Source organism: Homo sapiens, chromosome 14, assembly GCF_000001405.40.
Source record: "Homo sapiens chromosome 14, GRCh38.p14 Primary Assembly".
In the NCBI taxonomy this organism is placed as follows: domain Eukaryota; kingdom Metazoa; phylum Chordata; class Mammalia; order Primates; family Hominidae; genus Homo; species Homo sapiens.
This window is the reverse complement of record NC_000014.9, coordinates 57,212,008-57,233,976: the sequence shown is the minus strand read 5'-3', so window position 1 is coordinate 57,233,976 and position 21,969 is coordinate 57,212,008. Positions and strand designations below refer to the sequence as shown.

Genomic DNA, 21,969 nt, shown 5'->3' with positions numbered 1-21,969 from the left:
GTACACTTTGTTGGATATTATTTTATGCTAATTGTTGTTTTAAAATCATGTAGAAATTATATGTTCACTGTATAAAATGTCTCTGCTGTTTAGGGTGCTTATTTGAGAAATGATATATTTGAAGACGCTGGAATACTCTGTCAAAGAGTGAACAAACAAGTTGGAGATATCTTCAGTAATCCAGAAACAGTCCTGGCTAAACTTATTCAAAATGTATTTGAAATCAAACTACAGGTAATTTTAAATAGTAACAAATTAAATAGTTCTTAAAGCAATATGTAATTTTTTCCCTATATTTTAAAAGTATTTTTAAAATTTAGTTTACTTATGTAATGACCTTAGAAATAGTAATCTAGTTAAGGAGAAAGGAATCCTCATGCTTTTTAAAAAATGTTTTGTATTCACCAAGAAGAAAGTGCTAATCAATAAGTATCATCAGAGAACATGCTTGAAATTTGTGTAGTATTCGTAGTAGTAGTATAATATATTGTGGTAAGATAGCCTTGAAGATTTTTCTTTTTTTTTGGTCCCTGCCTTCACCAATAGATGTCATTTGTGAAACTGAACAAGAATTACAAGAGCAGTCTGTAGAATTTTTAATAATATGGTACTAACCTGAAAAGGGAAAACACAGAAATTTAATTTACCCCCATATCACTGTACTTTCAGATAACATTTCCTAAGCTGTTTACAACTGGATTAAACAACATTCAATAAATGTTTGCTTTTTTTTTTTTTTAACACAATTCAGGAATTTTGATAGTATTGTCATTCTCTAGAAGTGGGGATGTAATGTACAGCATTTCACACATTTACTGTCTAAGAAACCCTGTTTTGGAGTAATGCCTATAGACATCTGAAGGAACACTAGTGTTACCTGGAACTCAGTTTGGGAGATGCTGCCTTAAGGAATTGACTCTATTGTTTGTACTCTCAGTTTTGTTTTTTTGATGCACCTCACAGAGCAGAATAGGCCAATTTAACAGAAAAGGTATTATTCCTAAGACTGATAAAGATCCTCTACAGGTAAATATGAGAAGTGGTAAAATGTAAAAACCTGTTTTAAAATATTTTATGATTGGTTTGTTTTCTGTAATTGCCTTTTTGATTGGATTGTAAGTCAGAAAGGTTCAAAACTGTGGAGTGAATTTTAAAAGAAAAATATCTTGAGAAGTTGTAGAATTTAATATTTACCTAATTAACAGAATGTTAACCTTTTTCTTTTAGAGTTTTGTGAAAGAGCAGTTAGAAGAATGTAGGAAGTCCGATGCAGAGCAATATCTCAAAAATCTCTATGATCTGTATACAAGGTAAATTTTTAATGATTAGAAAATAATAGATAACAGATTTTTTAAATTTTTTTGATAAAAACAAGGAAGTATTCAGGTATTTTTGAATAAGTTTGTCACCAGTTTACCTTTTAGCATTAAATGCTTAGCTGTATAGACTAGTTATATTGTACAAGACTGTATTGTACAACATTCTTAATACATTAACGTCAGGAATTGGATGTTATGCTTTATTTTTTCTCTAAGCATTAGTGTAATTACATTTATCTGCAGTCAAAACTTTAGAAACTGCAAAAGGAAGTGATGTAATCTTAACAAATGACAATTTCAGCTCTAAATCTTCTGTAGGAATTTGTCTTGTGCTTTTGTAAATGTCAGTGTTACTCTTAGAGATTGTCTCAGAAGCTTCATATGGAGTCTTGTGGGGTTTTTTTTTTCCTTGACTTTTCCCAACCCTATTACTCTTCTTCAGTGTCTTCATTTTGGGAGAAGGTTTTTCCAAAGTTACCGTAATGAGGAAGTCCATCTCAACAACAACACTGTTATGACCCTATCTTCAGCAATGGGAAATAGAAAATTAGAGGGAAAGTCCACAAGGACAAAACAAAAGAGGGTGAACAGACAGTAGATCTTTCAGTACTCTGTTTTGGGTCCCATGTGATGAATGGCATTAGACATACTTGAGGCCAATCTGCCACTGTCGCCATTTCTGGACTAGTTAATTGCCTCACAAGTTCTTTTCCTAGGAATTTATAACAGTTCTCAAAACCGTAAAGTTGTTCGTAATATTTCACTGTATTTATATGTAACCCTGTAGAGTTGATCTCTGCATCATAAGTACTCTCCCAGAGTTTAAGAAATGGTGGCTTAACATAAGTCATGAAAGTCACGTTGTAAAAATTTGTATTCCTTAATATTGTTACTATACCTAAAATGTATATTAATCTTTTTCTCCCCCTTTTTCATGAAAAGAACCACCAATCTTTCCAGCAAGCTGATGGAGTTTAATTTAGGTACTGATAAACAGACTTTCTTGTCTAAGCTTATCAAATCCATTTTCATTTCCTATTTGGAGAACTATATTGAGGTGGAGACTGGATATTTGAAAAGCAGAAGTGCTATGATCCTACAGCGCTATTATGATTCGAAAAACCATCAAAAGAGATCCATTGGCACAGGAGGGTGAGTATTTTTGTTAAATACTTCTGTTAAAACTGAAGACATTAATAACTTCATTATATTTGGGCAAATTATCAAATGTTGACTATCATTAGAATTTTCTGTGAAGAGTTCTTTTAATCCAGATTGTTATATTATTGATCAAATCTTGTTCTTAAACCACATGTTGAAATGACCTAACATAACATGATTGAAATGTAAGCCGGGCGTGGTAACTCACTCCTGTAATCGCAGCACTTTGGGAGGCCGAGATGGGCTGATCACCTGAGGTCTGGAGTTCGAGACCAGCCTGGCCAACGTGGTGAAACCCCATCTCTACTAAAAACACAAAAATTAGCTGGGCGTGGTGGCAGACACCTGTAATCCCAGCCATTAAGGAGGCTGAAGCAGGAGAATCACTTGAACCTGGGAGACGGAGGTTGCAGTGAGCCAAGATTACGCCACTGCACTCCAGCCTGGGCGACACAGCAAGACTCCGTGTCAAAAAAAAAAAAAAAAGTAAAGTAGATATTTGTCAATTAAAAAATAATGTTTTAAAACTATCGAGCAGAACACTAGTAATATAAAAAGTTCCATAGTTTCTTTCATTTTTTTTTTTCTCGATAGAATAAGTTCCAGGTTATTGACCAGGAAACGCATCTTTTTTTTGTTACTGTTGCAGGTGTGAAAAAAATAGAAAATAGTTTGTAGTTTAAGTACCTTGAATTGATGAGTTTTGTTCAGAGACTTTAGCATAAAAAACTATTAAATTAATACCTTAATGCCTACAATTATTTACAGACTAGAAGAAAATAACTTGCTCCAAGAATAGTTGGCATCTTAGCTACCAGGCTTTAACTGCCTGGAACCCAGATTCTAAAAAGAGACAGAATGACATTGGTGGACTCAAAGTCCAGAATCCCCACATGTATATATCGAAACCAGTTTTCTTATTTCCCATTTTGTTGTGTATTAAATAATGATTAGAGAGAGTTAAAATTAGTAGTAAGAGGTAATACCTGAAAGGTAGTAGCAAGGAAGGGAAGAGGAAAACTAATGAATAATAGGAATTTGTGTGTGTGTTTGTGTGTGTGTGTGTGTGTGTTTACGGTAGTCTCAAGTTACATATCCTAAGAGCAAAAAAAGTTTAACCTTCCAAAGATACCCCATATAAGTGTTTCAGGTGACCCTCAGTAATTAAGAATAGCTAAATTATGTTTAATATATCTTCTTTAATATCATGAATAAATGTGCATAATCTTAAAATGACTATATTTTAAAATTGTTAAACTTTTAAAGGTTTCTTTTTAAACAGGACTATTTCGTTATTTAGAATGCCAACCTATTTGGAATAGCTCACTTTCTAAGGAAACCCAGCAAGTTTTACTATTGAGTCAGAATTGTAAGGCTGAATTGTAAAGCAACTTCAGAAATTAGAAGTCCAAATCTACTCATTTATCAGATGAAAATCTTCCGTTTAGATATCAGGGCTAACTTTATTTCACAAAACTAGTTATTGGAATTAGAAATTAGGTCTCTTGGCTATTGGTCCATTTTTGTTGTTGATATATACTAAGTTTGGAAGTACTCAAAGTTGAAATCTAAGTAAAATGTTTTCTTTTTTTCATTTGTCTTTATGATGTACTAGTATTCAAGATTTGAAGGAAAGAATTAGACAGCGTACCAACTTACCACTTGGGCCAAGTATCGATACTCATGGGGAGACTTTTCTATCCCAAGAAGTGGTGGTTAATCTTTTACAAGAAACCAAACAAGCCTTTGAAAGATGTCATAGGGTAAGAGTGATTGTAAATGTATTTTACATATACAGTTGTTCCTTGATATCTGTGGGGAATTGATTCCAGAACCTCCGAGGATACCAAAATCGTGGATGCTCAAGTCTGCTATATAAAGTGTGTAGTATTTGCATATATTCTATGCACATCCTCATTTATACTTTAATTAGTCTGTAGATTACTTATAATTATTTATATATATTATTACATTACCTAGTGCAACGTAAATCTCTGTAAATAGTTGTAACTTTAGTGTTTAGGGGATGATGACAGTACATATTCAGTACAGATGCAACCATTCTCTTTTTTTTTCTTGAATATTTTTTGATCTGTGGCTGGTTGAATCTGCTGATGCAGAACCCACAGATACAGAACTTACAGTTAGAGAGAACTGACTATGTAGTTGTATTTTAAGTCTTACCTTGTTTTACTAAGATATAAATTTACTCTGATTAGGAACAACTATTTTTTGTAATAAAAGATAGGATTTTTATTTTGGAGAACAGAATAATTTTAAAATTAGGAATAAATGTGAATATAACTTTAAATTAAAGTTGAGCAGATCAAATTTTTGTTATGTAGGATTAAATGAAGATGTGAAAGGGACAGTTAGACTTTTCTCATGAAGAAATGGTGCATCAGGGAAAGAACAATGTTTTAAGAGCATCAACATCAAAGGGAAAGAGTGAAGATTTGGCTCCATTAAAACTTAGATTTTCCTCTCTAATAAACACAGTTTAGCAAAATAAACAGATAAGTCAGAGTGATAAAGTATTTGTAAATGATACTACTAGCAAAAGATTGTATGAAACAAATAATAGTAGCTAATAATTTTATAGTACATAATATGTTCCAGACACTCCTTTTTTTTTTTTTTTTTTATACTTTAAGTTCTGGGATACGTGTGCAGAGCATGCAGGTTTGTTACATAGGTATACACGTGCCATGGTGGTTTGCTGCACCCATCAACTCCTCATCTACATTAGGTATTTCTCCTAATGCTATTCCTCCCTTAGTCCCCCACCCCCCCAACAGGCCCCACTGTGTGATGTTCCCCTCCCTGTGTCCATGTGTTCTCATTGTTCAACTCCCACTTAATGAGTGAGAACATGTGGTGTTTGATTTTCTCTTCCTGTGCTAGTTTGCTGAGAATAATGGTTTCTAGCTTCATCTGTGTCCCTGCAAAGGACATGAACTCATCCTTTTTGATGGCTGCATAGTATTCCATGGCATATATGTGCCACATTTTCTTTATCCAGTCTATCATTGATGGGCATTTGGGTTGGTTCCAAGTCTTTGCTATCGTGAATAGTGCTGCAGTAAACATACGTGTGCATGTGTCTTAATAGTAGAATGATTTGTAATCCTTTGGGTATATACCCCAGTAATGAGATTGCTGGGTCAAATGGTAATTCTGGTTCTAGATCCTTGAGGAATCATCACACTGTCTTCCACAATGGTTGTACTAGTTTACACTCCCACCAGCAGTGTAGAAGCATTCCTATTTCTCCACATCCTCTCCAGCATTTGTTGTTTCCTGACTGTTTAATGATTGCCATTCTAACTGGCGTGAGATGGTATCTCATTGTGGTTTTGATTTGCATTTCTCTCATGACCAGTGATGATGAGCTTTTTTTCATGTTTGTTAACTGCATAAATGTCTTCTTTTGAGAAGTGCCACTCTTCTAAGCATTTTAAGTGTGTGTGTGTGTGTGTGTGTGTATGTATATATATCTTGTTTGTATGTAGTTTACATACGTGTGTGTGTGTGTGTGTGTGTGTGTGTGTATATATATATGTATGTAAACTTATTTCATCATATAACCACCCTGTGAGGTTGTTAGTTTGCAAATAAAGAACTGAGATACTTGGCTTTTAGGTAGTGGATTGAGAGTTGAGGCAGTCTTAATTATTTATGTTGATGTATATAATCTGTATTTATATTGAGACAGTAAATTATACATGTGAATATAAATCAATAGAAAACAAGTCAAAGAATACGCATACGCAGTTTACAAAAAGAAAATGTAAATCACTAGTACAATACTCAGTCTCACTAATAGGGAAATGCAACTTATTCATTAGGTTGGGATAAATTAAGAAGTCTGATGACCAAGTGTTGTTAAGGAAGTGGAGCAATAAGCAGTTGTCACACACCGCCAATGGGAGTGAAATTGGTACCGTTATTTTGAGGATTAATTTGGCAGTTTCTTAGAGAAACTCATAGGTTCATGTGATATGTATAACATCATAACAGCATTTTTTTCATGGTGAAAAATTAAAAGCAAACTCTCAGTGTCCATGAAAAAGAGAATTGTTAAACTGGTGTTTTTCATACAGTAGAAAACTATACAACAATTTAAATGAGTGAAGTAGAGTTACATGTGTCAACATGAATAAATCTGAAAAATACTTAGTATTGATATGACTGAATCATATGGTTTTTTTTTAGGAAGCTGCCAAACTAATAGTGTGTAGTGATATTTGATTATAGTTTTAGTTTTCATTTTCCTAATGCAGTGATGATTCATGTTGAGCATCTTTTCATGTGCTTATTTGCCGTCAATATATACTCTCTGGTGAAGTGTTTGTTCAGATCTTTTGTGCATTTTTAAATCAATCGTGTGTTTTATTTTTGGAGCACTCTATATTGTTACAATTTATCAGATATGATTTGCACATTTTTTTTCTGCCTGTGGCTTATCTTTTTATTCTCATCAGTATTTCTAAGGATAGCTGTTCTTAATTTTGATGACATCCAATTTAATAATACTTTTCTGTTCTGGATGGTGATTTTGGTGTCATATATAAGAAGTCTTTGCCTAACCAAAGGTTACAAAGTTTTCCTCCTATGTTTTCTTCTTTTATAGTTTGAGGCTTTATGTTAAGATGTATAATCAATTTTGAGTTAAGTTATACAGTATTGTGGATCAAAGTTCATAATTTTACAATTAGGCATCCAGTTGTTTCAGTTTCATTTATTGAAAAGACTATCCTTTCCGCACTGAATTACTGTAGAACCTTTGTCAAAAATCAATGGACCATTTATATGTGGGTCTGTTTCTGGACTCTTGTGTTCCATTGGTCTGTCTTTATGCCTGTACTGTACTGTCTTGATTGCTGTAACTTTATAATAAGTCTTGAATCGGGTAGTGTAAGTCCTAAGTCCTCTAACATTTTTATATAAATCATTTTGTATTATGTCTTATAATAGCTTGTCTGTTTCTGAAAAAGTCTGAGATTTTGATTGGAATTACATTGACTCTGTAGTTCTATTTGGGGAGAATTCACATATTTTGATGCCATTATAAGCATATGTAAATGGTCTTTTTAAGATTTATATTTAATTTCTAGTTTAACTTACTTAGTCTATAGAAATACAGTTGATTTCTATATATTGCTCTTATATCCTGTGAGAACGGAAAATAAATCTCTGGACCCCCAAATCACTAAGCCAAAGGGAAAACTCAAGTTGGGAAATGCATCAGGCAAACCTGCCTCCCATTTTATTCCTAAGTAAGATAGGAATTCCTTGTGGGCCTCAAGATCTTTCCCCTAAAACAGTTTTATTGAATTTCACCTTGGCAATGTAAATTGATAACTTATCTTCACAGTTGCAGGACAAAGGAGAGAACTCAAGTCATCCCTCAGCTCACCTGAGAGAAATGCGTATCTGATTGCTTCCTCTGTCCTATTGTTTATGTAAAAATGTAGATTCACCGAGCCAGATTAAGGCACAAGTGATTATTCCTCTACCCACCTCTGACATGCAAATTGTATATTCAGTGAAAGGGTGGTCAAAGACTCAAAAGAATACGACTGTTTGTCTCTTATCTGCCTGTAACCTGGAAGCACCTTCTCACCCCTTCAAGTTGTCCCGCCTTTCCGGACAGAACCACTGTACATAACACCTATTGATTGATGTCTCATGTCTCCCTAAAATGTGTAAAACCAAGCTGTGCCCCTACCAACTTAGGTGGGCATGTGTTGGCGGGACCTCCTGAGACTGTGTCATAGGAATGTCCTTAACCTTAGCAAAATAAACTTTCCAAATTGATTGAGACTTGTCTCAGATACTTTTGGGTTCAGACCTGCAACCTAACTAAACTCACTTATTAGTTCTATTTGCCTTTTTTTTTTTTTTGTAGATTCCACTGGCTTTTCTGTGTAGATTATCATATTATCAGCCCATAAATACAGTTTTACTTATTTTTTCCAATATAGATGTCTTTTATTTGTTATTTTGCCTTATTGTACTGGCCAGACTTCTAGTACAGTGCTGAATAGAAGTGATGAGAGTGAACACTTTGCATTATTTCTGATCTTAAGAATAAATTATTTAATCGTTCACCATTAAGTATGATACTAATTGGGTTTTTCATAGATGTTCTTTTTCAGATTGAGAAAATTATTTTATCCTACTTAGCTGAGTGGTTTTATGAGGATTAGATGTTAGATGTTATGCAAAACTTTGTTATTCTGTTAATATGGTAAATTATAGTGATTGATTTTCAAATGTTGGCCTTGCATTTCTTCTTTGATAAACTCCAGTTGGTCATCAATTGACCTTTGACCTTTTGTCATATTTATATATTGTTGGATTAAGTTTGCTAAACTTTTGTAAAGAATTTTAACATCTGTGTTCATGAGGGATATTGGCCTTTTTTTTTTGGAGACGGAGTCTCACTCTGACGCCCAGGCTGGAGTGCAGTGGCACGATCTCGGCTCACTGCAACCTCCTCCTCTTCAGTCCAAGCGATTCTCCTGCCTCAGCCTCCCAAGTAGCTGGGACTACAGGCGCCCACCACCATGCCCGGCTGAGTTTTGTATTTTTAGTAGAGACAGGGTTTCGCCATGTTGGCCAGGGTGGTCTTGAACCTCTGACCTCAGGTGATCCGCCCGCCTCGGCTTCCCAAAGTGCTGAGATTACAGGTGTGAGCCACCACGCCCAGCTTTTTTTCCTTTTTATGTCTTTGTCTGGTTTTAGTATCAGGGTAATGTTGGCCTCATAGGATGTGTTGGGAAATATTTCCACCACCCCTCTCAATTTTCTGGAAGAGTTTGAGTAGAATTGGTATTCTTTCTTTCTTTCTTTGGTAAAAGTCACAAGTGAAGTCATTTGGGCCTGAATTTTTTTGTGTGTGAGGATTTTAAACTACAAATTCAACTTCTTTAGTAGATACAGAACAATTCAGGTTATCCACTTCTTTTTAAGTCCACTTTGGTAGTTTGTATGTTTTAAGCATTTGTGTAGTTCACATAAGTTGTTGAATTTGTTGGAATAAAATTATATTCATGATATTTTCTTATCCTTTTAATAGCTGTAGAATGCGTACAGTGATGTCACCACTTTCCTAATATTAGTAATTTGTGTTATTTTTTTTTCTGATCAATCTGGCTAGAGATTTATTCATTTTACTGATTTATTTCCCCCCGAAGAACCAGCTTTTGGTTTCATTAATTTTTCCCTGTTGTTTTTCTGTTTTGTATTCATCAATTTCTACTCTTTATTACTTCTGTTATTCTGCTTACTTGGGTTTTATCCCCACCCCTCACCCCAAACCCCCTGTTTTTTTAGTTTTCTAAGGTGGAAGCTGAGGTCATTGATTTGAGAACTTTCTTCTTTCCTAATCTAATGCGGGTGTTTTGTCTTACAAATTTCCCTGTAAATACTACTTTAGCTGCATCCCCAGAATTTTTGTATGTTGTGTTTTATTTTTATTCAGTTCAAATCCTTTTAATGTTGCTTTTGATTTGTTCTGGCCCAAACGTGATTTAGAAATATGTTATTTAGTTTCCAAATATTTAGGAATTTATTAGATGTCTTTCTGTTACTGATTTTAAATTTGATTCCGTTGTGGTCAGAGAATTTACTTTGTATGATGTGAACCCATTTTAAATTTATTAAGACTTGTGGTTTTTTTAGCCCAGAATATGGTCCATCTTTTTTGTATGCACTTGAAAAAAATATATATCCTGATGTTGTTGGATGGAGTATTGTATAATGTCAGTTAGGCTTAGTTGATTATGTTGTTCAAGTCTTCTATATCCTTACCAATTTTCCATCTGCCTCTTCTGTCTATTATTCATGGATGTTTGGATGTAAATAGGAGGAATGTAAGAATAGCTTGTGAAGAAGGTAAGAGCATTTTTTGAGCATCAGTGATTAGAGGAGGAGGGTGAATATTGGAGTAGAGAGACTGATGAGGGAGGGGTAAAGGTTGGGTAGTATTAATAAGACCAGGAAGGAAGCTGAGTAATACCAAATCAGTATTTATAATCAGTGGGAATTCAAAGGGGGTTATAGAATTCCTATCAACTTCTAATTTAATACATCAGATAATAAGTATTAACCCCAAGAGGACACATGAATTAAGACTACAAATAGGTTTGACAGAAGCAGAAATCAATGTATAAATAATATAGAAAGCAATTATAAGAAGTCAGGAGTAATTTTTTGACTGTTAAAAAAGGATTTTATTTTCCCAGCATAACTAATAATTTTACTAAATAGCTAGTTTAACAGCAACAGCAGCGCCAAAATGAATATTGTAAGCTCACTATGTGCAAATACTGTGCTAAAAACACTTTATGCTTATTTTCGTATTTATTCTTACCTCAAGGCTAGAATGTAAGTACTGTTAATACTATTCCCATCTTACAAATGAAGAAATTGAGGCATGGTGGGGTTAAATAACATCTCAAAGGTTCACTTAATCAGGAAATGGTAAAACCATTATTTGAACCAGTTATATTTTATGGTGCATCTGTTATTAATTTCTCCATCTTTACTCCCCAGTAAAACAAAGAATTCTTTTTGTTCTGAGTTTTACTAGACTGTTCTTTGCTCAGTCAGTGGCTCTCAAACCTCTTTGGCCCACAGTAAGAAATGCATTTTACATGTTAGCCCTGTGTATGTATGTATGTGTGTGTGTATGTGTGTGTGTGTATACATATATATATATATATATGTGTGTGTGTGTGTATATATATATGTGTGTGTATATAATATATGGGGGTATATATATATATATATGGGGGTATACATTTTATGAAAGTATACTTGGATTTCACTAATGGATTGCAATCCAAGTTTGAAAAACATTACTCTAAGTCAGGAGAGTTGTAGATAAATATGGAGCATTGTAATTGTGTGTGTGTGTATTTGTGCATGCACACGCAGTATGGGGGGAGCTGTGAGTTATTTTCATACCTGAAACACTGACTACATCCTATAAAAAATTGATTGCTTAAAAAAAATTGGCATTTTCAAAAGGTAGACTTGAGGAGTGATATTGTTTGATTTTTGTTTTTAAGCTCTCTGATCCTTCTGACTTACCAAGGAATGCCTTCAGAATTTTTACCATTCTTGTGGAATTTTTATGTATTGAGCATATTGATTATGCTTTGGAAACAGGACTTGCTGGTAAGTATATTTGTGTTACACTTGTGTTAAATTCTTTTGATTCTGCTTGGTTAAACTATATGCATAATGTTGTTTTGCTTATAATCATCTCTGTGTCTCAAATTCAGTTCGGTGCAATGAAGTTTGAGCTTTTATAATGCAAGGATTTGCCAGGTGCTGAAAGCTATACTGAATGGTTCTCTCATATTGTTTACATATGGCATAATAGAATAATAAGCTACTTAAGTCACTACAATGTATGACACAATGTCTTACAATGCTGTAAGTTAGAAAATGTCGAGGAGCAAAATGAAGGCGAAAACAATTCTGATTGGGGAATTGAGTAATGTAAAATTTAGAAAGAGAAGTATTAAAAACTAAGTCTGGAAAAAAATAGATTCAAATTAAAATTCTTATTTTGCTTTTGGTCTTTTGGTCTTAGTAGTTAGTATTGGTAGCATAATAATGACCTGAGTCCCGTCTCATTAATTCAGTTGTCTACTTCACCTGTTCAATGGTCATCTCAAACTTAACATATCCAAAATGAAACTCTTTATCTTCCCTCTAAACCTGTTCCTTTCCCATTCTTCCCTTGTCATTAAAAGGCGTTACCAATATGCGTGATTATTGTATGTCAGTTTTTTAAAAGGCATTACCATTTCCCACTTGCTCAATCCCCAACAAAACCCAGGAGTTCCTCAATTCCTCCTTTTCAGAAATCAATCCTGATAGCCAATCCATCAGCAAATCCTGTCAGTATACTTCCAGGCATAAGTCAAATTCATGTACTCTTCTCCATCTTCACTGATGCCACCCTAATTTAAACACCATTATCTCTGTCTACTTGTAACTGGTCTCCCTGTGTACATTCTTGCCTCTCCACATTACTGACTTCATTTAACAGCCAGTTTAATTATTTCCTTATTTAAAACTCTGTGGTGGTTTCCTATTACTCTTAAGGGGAAAACAACAGCAAACTGTAGAGAAGCATGACTTTTTATCTGGCCTGGTATGTATTGATCATCTCTCATTGCATTTCTTCTCACTGCTCAGTCACTCTGACCCTTATTGTTTTTCCTTGCTTAGTCTCTTTGCACTTGGTGTTTCCCTATCCCCAAAATCCTTTTGCCTCAGCTTTTCTCATGGCTGGCTTTTCAATCATCTGATCTCAACTAAGATGTTATCTTCTCAGAGAGGCATTGCTGATCATCACCCTAGCTAAAGTAGCCCTCTTCTCCCAGCCCAGTTATCCTTATTATCTTCTCATTGCATTAAATTTTTTATAGCACTTATCACAATGAAATTTTTATCTGTTAATGTCTGCCACCACTCATCAGAATTCATTCATTTAACACATGCTTATTAAATGCCTACTCCTGTACTTGTGGAGTTTATATTCTTATGGAGAAGATAGACAAATGATTAGAAAGTGCAATGAAGAAAAGTAAAACTGAGTAAGGGACTAAAAAATTAAAAAAAGTGTGTATATATAATAATTTTGATATGCCCTTATTTTTATTTTTATTTTTGAGACAGAATCTCGCTCTGTCACCCAGGCCAGAGTGCAGTGGCATAGTCATGGCTCATGGCAACTTTGAACTCCTGGGCTCAAGCAATACTCCTACCTCAGCCTCCTGAGTAGCTATAACTACAGGTGCATGCCACTGCACCTAGCTAATTTTTTCTTTTTTTGTAGAGTTGGGGTCTTACTTTGTTGCCTAGACTGTTTTTGAACTCTTGGCTCCAAGCGATCCTCCCTCCTCAGCCTCCCAAGAATTTTTTGTTTTGATTTAAGCTATTTTCCTAAAGGTTTCTTTTCCCAGTAACTTATGCCGCTGCTGGACTGTTTGTGTGTGCCAGTTTTTCTGTAATTATTGAATATTCTTTAAAAATTTTAATTTCGTGGTTAAAAACTTACACTGTAGCTGAGTTCTGATGCCTATAAAGAAAAAAAGTACATCAATATTGCCTTAATTTTTATGTCTTTCATTAATAACAATGATTCATATTTTCTACATATGTATTGATTTTGTTTTTTTCTCTTGTAAAGTTCATTTGTTATTCAAGCCTTCAATTTTCTTACCAGTTGGTAATCTTGTCTTTTACTTGCGGGGGCAGGGGGGGCGGAGGGAAACACCTTTGTTTTCCATTATTAAGAGAAAAAAAAAATCATTGTTCTAAAAAGAACTCTATGTGTCAAGCCTGTATTTTCTCATTAGCTATGCATATTTTCTTTAGTCTCTTAAGTCTTTTACTTTTAGCTAGAAACATAAACATCTAGGACCTTAGAGTTCATCTGTTATTCTTTACAAAAAGGAGGAAATGGAAATCCAGAGAGGTCAGCTGACATTTTGAGGTCAGAATATGGAGTGGCTTGATTCCCTTTTTATTTTATTCTGAATAAATTCCAGAATAAAATCAGGAATGTAATCTGTAGATAGGACATTTTGAGTATTTTTGAGGAGATAGTGTAGAGCACAGTAAGTGAAATGTGTCAGTTTAGGGATATTACTATGGCAGCAGTATCTAGGATAAAAGGTAAAGAGACTTGAATGAGGAAGACCAATGAGAAAATTATTCGAACTGTTATCAGAGATAAAGAGGCCTGGTTATAAGAAATATGTGGAGGTGTATTCATGGCTCACGTGAATCATGAAGGCTAAGTAGATGGTGAACATTGGGCATAAAAATAACTTTGGATGAGTTTTACTAGTATAAGTTTAAGCTTGATTTTCCTCTTCTGTCCACAGAAGTCATTATTGATGTATTAAAATAGCGGTGTCATTTATTTTATGTTACAGATTAAAAAACCACATTCTTTTTTTCTGTTGCCAAGATGAATTTCTTCAAGGATGATTCTAACATATGTATGCTTTCTGGTTTTAGGAATTCCCTCTTCAGATTCTAGGAATGCAAATCTTTATTTTTTGGACGTTGTGCAACAGGCCAATACTATTTTTCATCTTTTTGACAAACAGTTTAATGATCACCTTATGCCACTAATAAGGTTAGTCAAATTATCTGATTTTCATTGATATTTCAGTGACTATTATAGCATTCTACATAATCTATATATATTTTCATTAAATTTAAAAAGTACATTTTCACAAAAAATGTCAAACTGGACAAGTGAAATGAAATAAAAATATAAAAGTTCTTAGGAAATAAAACATTAGATATTGTTTCTTCTTGCATTTCTGTTTTCTCTTTCCACTATATTATTAATTTTGGTGTATTTCAAAAGATTTAATCTGTCACAAACCTAAAACTGAAATCTCATGTGAAAGAGGACCTCCAGCTTAGTGAAACTCAGCAAATTTGACATCTTTTAAAAGATCCGATAGACAAAGTCCATGTACCCACTTGTTATAATGTAAAGATACATACAAAAAATTTTGTGAGATTAATGGGACAGATTTTAATGAGGCATTAGAGTAAGGTTTGGTTTATATCTTCATATCAATTTATGTGAACTTATAAAGCATTTGAGAATTAAATAAGATGGTGTATATGTGAACATGCTTTACAGAATTATCTGTTTAACACTATTATGTAAGAGGAAAAATACTCATATAAAATTTTTTGACATTTTGTTGTAAACATTGATATGCCGAGACTAGTCCAGAAACAGTCTCAAAGATAACAGTCACTTGTAATCCCTGAATCATACTTTGAAAGGAAATTTACTTTTTAAGAGCTGTTATGCCACAAAGCAGAGAATTCACACAATTATTAGGGTTGCCTATTTCTTAATATTTTGAATGTTTTGACATTCTGATAGCATTCAGAAGGCAAATATGGTTGTCTGGTTTTTAAAAGTACAACTGGATTGGCTGTTACCCTCCAAATTTTATAGTATGATTTACTGTATTCTTAAAACTCTGGTGATGATAGTCTATAACTTTTCTTGGTATTACACTAGATATTTGTTTATAAAGAAAACCAAATAATTCCAAAATTTTAAAGTCACATTTATATTCTTGAGAGATGTCTCCTCAGAGATCAAAATAACAAATTTAAGTGGTCCTCTTCCTTCCCTTTTAATCGGTTGTTTTTAGTCTATTATAATGAATTGGGCATAGTGAATGCTAAATAATTACTTTGCTTCTTATATGCTTCTTGGATTTGTTAACAATATTAATGTGTATATATGGATATATTTATAAATGTATATAATGTAATACACATAGGTGTATGAAAAACTTTTAGAAAATATTAGACTATTAATATGATTCTTTTTCCATTTTAAATATACAATAGCTCTTCTCCTAAGTTATCTGAATGCCTTCAGAAGAAAAAAGAAATAATTGAACAAATGGAGATGAAATTGGATACTGGCATTGATAGGCAAGTTGTTGGTTTTGTCTCTTGCATTTTTTTAAATTATAAAAACACCATATTATAGCAGCATGAAAATACTTTGTAGAGAAGAAAAATATTTATCTTAATTCCACCATATTGCTACATTTGATTTTATTTTTACATATTGCCTTCATCCTTATTAGAGTGTTGTTTTTATTGGATCCTGAAGTTTTTTACTTTGGACTATCTTGGCATTTAACATGCCTTCCTCACTAAGCTTAATCATTTCTAGCTTTTGATTTAAAGTGAGAAATATGTGACGTTTTTCAGTTGAACACTTAGAGGCCATTGTAGGATTATTGATTGTCCTAATTGCAATGTTACTGTGTTTCAAGGAATAGGGAGGCCCACGGAGAGGCAGAGAGACAGGGAAACAGCCATTATCTGGAGTAGTCAGAACACACACTACATTTGTCAATTAGGTTCACTGTCTTATATGGGTATGGTACCCCAAAACAATTAAAATAGTAACATCAAAGATCACTGATCACAGATCACCATAACAGATTTAGCAGTAATGAAAAAGTTTGAAATATTGTAAGGATTACCAAAATGTGACACAGAAACACAAAGTGAACACATGCTGTTGGAAAAGTGGCACGGATAGACTTGCGTTGCCATAAGCCTGCAACTTGTAAAAAAACAAAACAAACCACAGTATCTGTGAAACACAGTCAAACAAAGCAGAATAAAACAAGGTATGCCTGGATATTCAGAAATGGGGTTGTTGGATCATATAGTAGCTCTGTTTTTAAGTTTTTGAGGAATTTCTGTACTTTTCCTTAATGGCTGTACCAATTTACATCCCCATCAACAGTGTACAAATGTCCTCTTTTACCTGCATTCTTGACAACGCTTGTTATCTATTGCCTTTTTGAAAAGAGCCATCCTAACGGGTGTGAAGTGATAACTGATTGCGTTTTCCTGATGACTAGTGATGTTGAGCACCTTTTCATATACCTGTTAGCCATCTGTATGTCTTCTTTCAAAAATTTTTATTCAGGTTCTTTGCCTTTAATCATTGGATCATTTATTTTTTTGCTATTGAGTTGTTTGAGTTCCTTATATGTTTGGAGTGTTAAACACCTCTGAGATGTATGGTTTACAAATATTTCCTTCCATTTCATAGGCTGTTGATGGTTTTCTTTGCTGTGCGGAAGCTCTTTAGTTTGATGCAGTCTCATTTGTCTTTGTTTCTGTTGCCTGTGCTTTTGAGGCCATATCCAAAAGGTCATTGCCAACATCAATGTCAAGAAACTTTTTTCTTACGTTTTCTTCTACTAGTTTTATAGTTGTGGGTCTTATATTAAATTTAATCCATTTTGAGTTGGGTTTTTTTGTGTAGAGTATAAGATAAGGGTGTCATTTCATTTTCCTGTGTGTAGATATCCAGTTTTCCAGAACCATTTATAGAGGAGACTATCCTTTCCCTATTGTGTGTTCTTGGCACCCTTGTTAAAGAGCAGTTGACCATAAATGGATGGATTTATTTCTGGGCTCTGTATCCTGTTCCATTGGGCTGTGTATCTGTTTTTATGCCAGTACCATACTGCATTAATTACTGTAGCTGTATGATATATTTTCTAACCAAGAAGTACGATGCTTCCAGTTTTGTTCTTTCTCAAAATTGCTGTGGCTATTCAGGATTTTTTCTGGTTCCATAAGAATTTTAGTGTTTTTTTTTTTTCTATTTCTGTGAAAAATGCCTTTGGAATTTTGATTGGGAATGCATTGAATTGCTTTGAGTAGTATGGACAGGTTAACAATATTCTTTCAAGCTCTAAACACGGGATATGTTTCCATTTACTTGTTTCTTTTGGCAATGTTCTATGGTTTTCAGTGTATAAGTCTTTTACTTCCTTGGTTAATTCCTAAATATTTTATTCTTTTTCATGCTATTGTAAATGGGATTTTTTTTCTTTCTTTTTTGGATAGTTTGCTGATAATGTATAAAAACAACTGATTTTTGTATGATGATTTTCTGTCTTGCAACTTTACTGAATTTGTTTATTAGTTCTATTTTTTGATGGAGTCTTTAGAGTTTTCTCTATCTAAGATCATATCATCTGCAAAGAGACAGTTTTACTTCTTTCTTTCCAATTTAGATGTCTTTTATTTCTTTTTCTTGCCTAACTGCTCTGGCTAGGACATCCACTACTGTGTTGAATAGAAGTAGTGAGAGTGGACATCCTTGTTCTTGTTCCTGATGTTAGAGGAAAAGCTTTGAGCTTTTCACTTTGAGCTTTTCACACTTTGATATTAGTTGTGGGCTTGTCATATATGATCTTTATTATCTTTAGGTATATTCCTTCAAACCTAATTTGTTTGTAAGTCTTTGTCATGAAAGAGTGTTGAATTTTACCAGAAGCGTTTTTTTTTTCACATCATCAGACAATTATGTGATTTTTATCCTTCATTCTGTTAATGTGGTCTGTCACATTTATAGATCTGCATATGCTGAACCATCCTTGAATCTCAGGGATAAACTCTGTTTGGTTATGGTGTATGATCCTTTCAGTGTGCTATTGAATTCAGTTTGCTATTTTTTTTTTTTACATCTTTATTCATCAGGGATATTGGCCTGTAATTTTCTTTCCTATATTGTCCTTCTCTGGCTTTGGTATCACTGTAATGCTGTCTTTGTAAAATGAGTTTGAAAGTGTAATCAGTTCTTCCATTGTTTGAAAAAGTTTGAGAACGATTGGTGTTAATTCTTCTTCTTCTTTTTTTTTTTTGAGACGGAGTCTCCCTCTGTTGCCCAGGCTGGAGTCCAGTGGCACGATCTTGGCTCACTGCAACCTCCACCTCCCTGGTTCAAGCAGCTCCCCTGCCTCACCCTCCCAAATAGCTGGAATTACAGGCACACACCACCACACCCTGCTAATTTTTTTGTATTTTTAGTAGAGACATGGTTTTACTGTGTTAGCCAGACTGGTCTTGAACTCCTGACCTCAGGCAGTCCACCCGCCTCAGCCTCCAAAAGTGCTGGGCTTACAGGTATGAGTCACTGCGCCCAGCCGATTCTTCTCTTCATGTTGGGTAGAATTCACTAGTAAGGCCATCTGGTCCTGGGATTTTTCTGACTTCAGCAGGACCTCTGTCTCTTAATCTCTTCATCTTATGCCAATCTATTATCCTTTTCCTAGCTTTATTTCTTTAGTTATTGTGCTTATATCACTTGGTCCATCTTTTGAATTACTTTCTTGAAATACCCTAAAGTACATTTCCTTCAATCACAACTGTCTTACAGACCCTAACCTCTGATAGATGCAGTCTCTTTTATTCCCATAACTGGTTGACTCCTCACTGTTGGAGAATATCACATAACATGTACGTTATTGGTACCACTGCAAATCTATGCTCTCATTTCTCAGTTGGATCTTTAGTACCGCTTATCCATCCTTCTGATTGTCCTTGTACTGTGAGACTCAGTGTTGCTCCTACCTGTTTTTCCCAACCTTGGCCATTCTTCATAAGTTCCCTATCTCCACCGGCAGCATTCTGTACACATTCAGCACCCCAATCCAAAAATCCGAAATAAAAATGCTTCAAAATTTGAAACTTGAAATTTTTTGAGTGCTGACATTACCCTACAAGTGGAAAATTTTACACCTGACCTCATGTGACAGGGCACAGTCAAAATACAGATGCACAGCACACGGTTTATTTGAGTATCCACAAGGGAAAAAAGACCCACCCAACCCTCTTCAGCTGTGATAAATATTTTCTGTGCATGTCCAAATCCCCCCCTACAACAAGCATGCCTACAAAGAATAATAAAATGGCATGTGTGTAGGCTGGACATGCCAATGGTAGGTGGCTCACAATGCCCCACGTGCAGCCAAGACCTGTGTGTGTGCTTTTTTTTCTCCTTATTCTGTGCTCTGTGGTATAAAGATGTTGTGGAATCTCAAAAAGGCCTACAGATACCCCTGAGGTTAACAGTGATAAGAACAAGAGGAAACTTTATGTTTATCTTTTTGTTTGTTTTTGTTTTTTGAGGTGGAGTCTCACTGTCTCCCAGGCTGGAGTGCATTGGTGTGATCTTGGCTCTCTTCAACCCATGCCTCCTGGGTTCAAGTGATTCTCCTGCCTCAGCCTCCCGAGTAGCTGGGACTACAGGTGCGCACCACCATGCCCAGCTAATTTTTTGTATGTTTAGTGGAGACAGGGTTTTGCCATGTTGGCCAGGCTGGTCTCAAACTCCTGGCCTCAAGTGATCCACCCACCTCAGCCTCCCAAAGTGCTGGGATTACAGGCGTGAACTACTGCACTCAGCCTGTTTATCTTTAAAAAAAAATTTTTTTTGTGGCCAGGCACAGTGGCTCAGTCTCGAACTGAGACCACCCTGGCCAACATGGTGAAACCCCATCTCTACTAAAAATACAAAAATTGGTCGGGCATGGTGGCAGGAGCCTGTAATCCCAGCTACTCGGGAGGCTGAGGCAGGGGAGTTGCTTGAACCTGGCAGTCAGAGGTTGCAGTGAGCCAAGATCACGCCACTGCACTCCAGACTGGGTAACAGGAGCAGAACTGTGTCTCAAAAAAATAAATAAATATATAAAAATAAAAAAAAATTTGTTTAGAGATATGATCTTGCTCTGTCACCCAGGCTGGTGTGCAGTGGCGCAATCATAGTTCACTGCAACTTTGAACTCCTGGGTTCACACAGTCCTCCCACCTCAGCTTCTTGAGTAGCTAGGACCACAGCTGCACACCACCATACCCAGCCATTTTTTTTTTATATGTAGAGATAGGGTCTCATTATGTTGCCCAGGCTGTTCTTGAATTCCTGGGCTCAAGTGATCCTCCACTTCAGCCTCACAAAGTGCTGGGATTACAGGTGTGAGTCACCATGCCTAGCAGCACTTACGTTTATCAAAGCTGCTGGACAAACAGGATGGCGGTGTAAGTGTGAAATGTCTTACAGAAGAGTATGGTATTGGAATGACCACCATATATTACCTGAAGAAACAGAAGGAGAAACTCTGTGCTGAAAGTGATGAACAGAAGTTAATGAAAAATATAAAAACACTGCATAAAGTTAAAAGTGAAGGTCTTGATTATGTATCGAAAGAGTGGATCTATCAGCATTGCAATGAATACATTGCTACTTAATGGTATGGTGATCATGAAACAAGCAAAGATCTATCATGATGAATTGAAAATGGAAGGGAATCGTGGCTGTTCAATGGGCCGTTTGCCAAAAGTTAAGAACAGACACAGCGTTATGTTTTTAAAGGTTTGTTGTGATAAAGCATCTGCTGGTCATGAAGCAGCAGAGAAATTCCTTAATGAGTTTGCCAGGGTTGTTGCTGATGAAAATCTGGTGTGAGAATAAGTCTATAATGTTGATGAAACACCACTATGTTGGCATTACTGCCCCAAGAAGACACTGACAATACAGGTGATAAGATGGCTCCTACAGAAATTGAGGATGCCAAGGACAGAGTAACTGTGCTAGAGTGTGCTAATGCAGCAGGCATGTATAAGTGTAAGCTTGCTGTAATAGGCTAAAGCTTGCATCTTCATTGTTTCAAAGGAGGGAATTTCTTGTTGGGTCCACCGTTATGCTAACAAAAAGGCATGGATAACCAGGGATGTCTTTTCTGATTGGTTTTACAAACATTTTGTACTAGTGGCTTACACATACTGCAGGGAAGCTGGACTGGATAACAACTACAAGATTTTGTTATTCCTTGACAACTGTTCGTGTCATACTCTTTCCCAATGTGACTTTATTCAGTCTTCTGACCAAGGTTTCTTTAGATCAATGAAGAGTAAATATAGAAACACTTTCTTGGGTGGGCATGGTGGCTCAGGCCTATAATCCCAACACTTTGGGAGGCTGAGGCAGGAGGATCACTTGAGCCCGGGAGTTTGGGACCAGCCTGAGGCAACATAGTGAGACCCTGTCTCTACACACAAAAAATTTAAGAATTAGACAGGTGTTCTGGCA

The 21,969-nt window shown here is 35.2% G+C and overlaps 1 protein-coding gene across 3 annotated transcripts in view; it reads left to right on the top strand.

Annotated features, from left to right (window-relative positions):
- Positions 1-21,969, top strand: part of EXOC5 (exocyst complex component 5) — a 68,399-nt gene that overhangs the window by 34,929 nt on the left and 11,501 nt on the right. For all 3 annotated transcript variants that reach the window (NM_006544.4, XM_005267272.4, XM_047430882.1), the window contains exons 9-15: positions 94-234; positions 1,228-1,310; positions 2,262-2,471; positions 4,096-4,243; positions 11,561-11,669; positions 14,535-14,655; positions 15,909-15,995. In NM_006544.4, coding sequence (NP_006535.1) covers positions 94-234; positions 1,228-1,310; positions 2,262-2,471; positions 4,096-4,243; positions 11,561-11,669; positions 14,535-14,655; positions 15,909-15,995 — 899 coding nt within the window. The remainder of the gene's footprint in view (positions 1-93; positions 235-1,227; positions 1,311-2,261; positions 2,472-4,095; positions 4,244-11,560; positions 11,670-14,534; positions 14,656-15,908; positions 15,996-21,969) is intronic.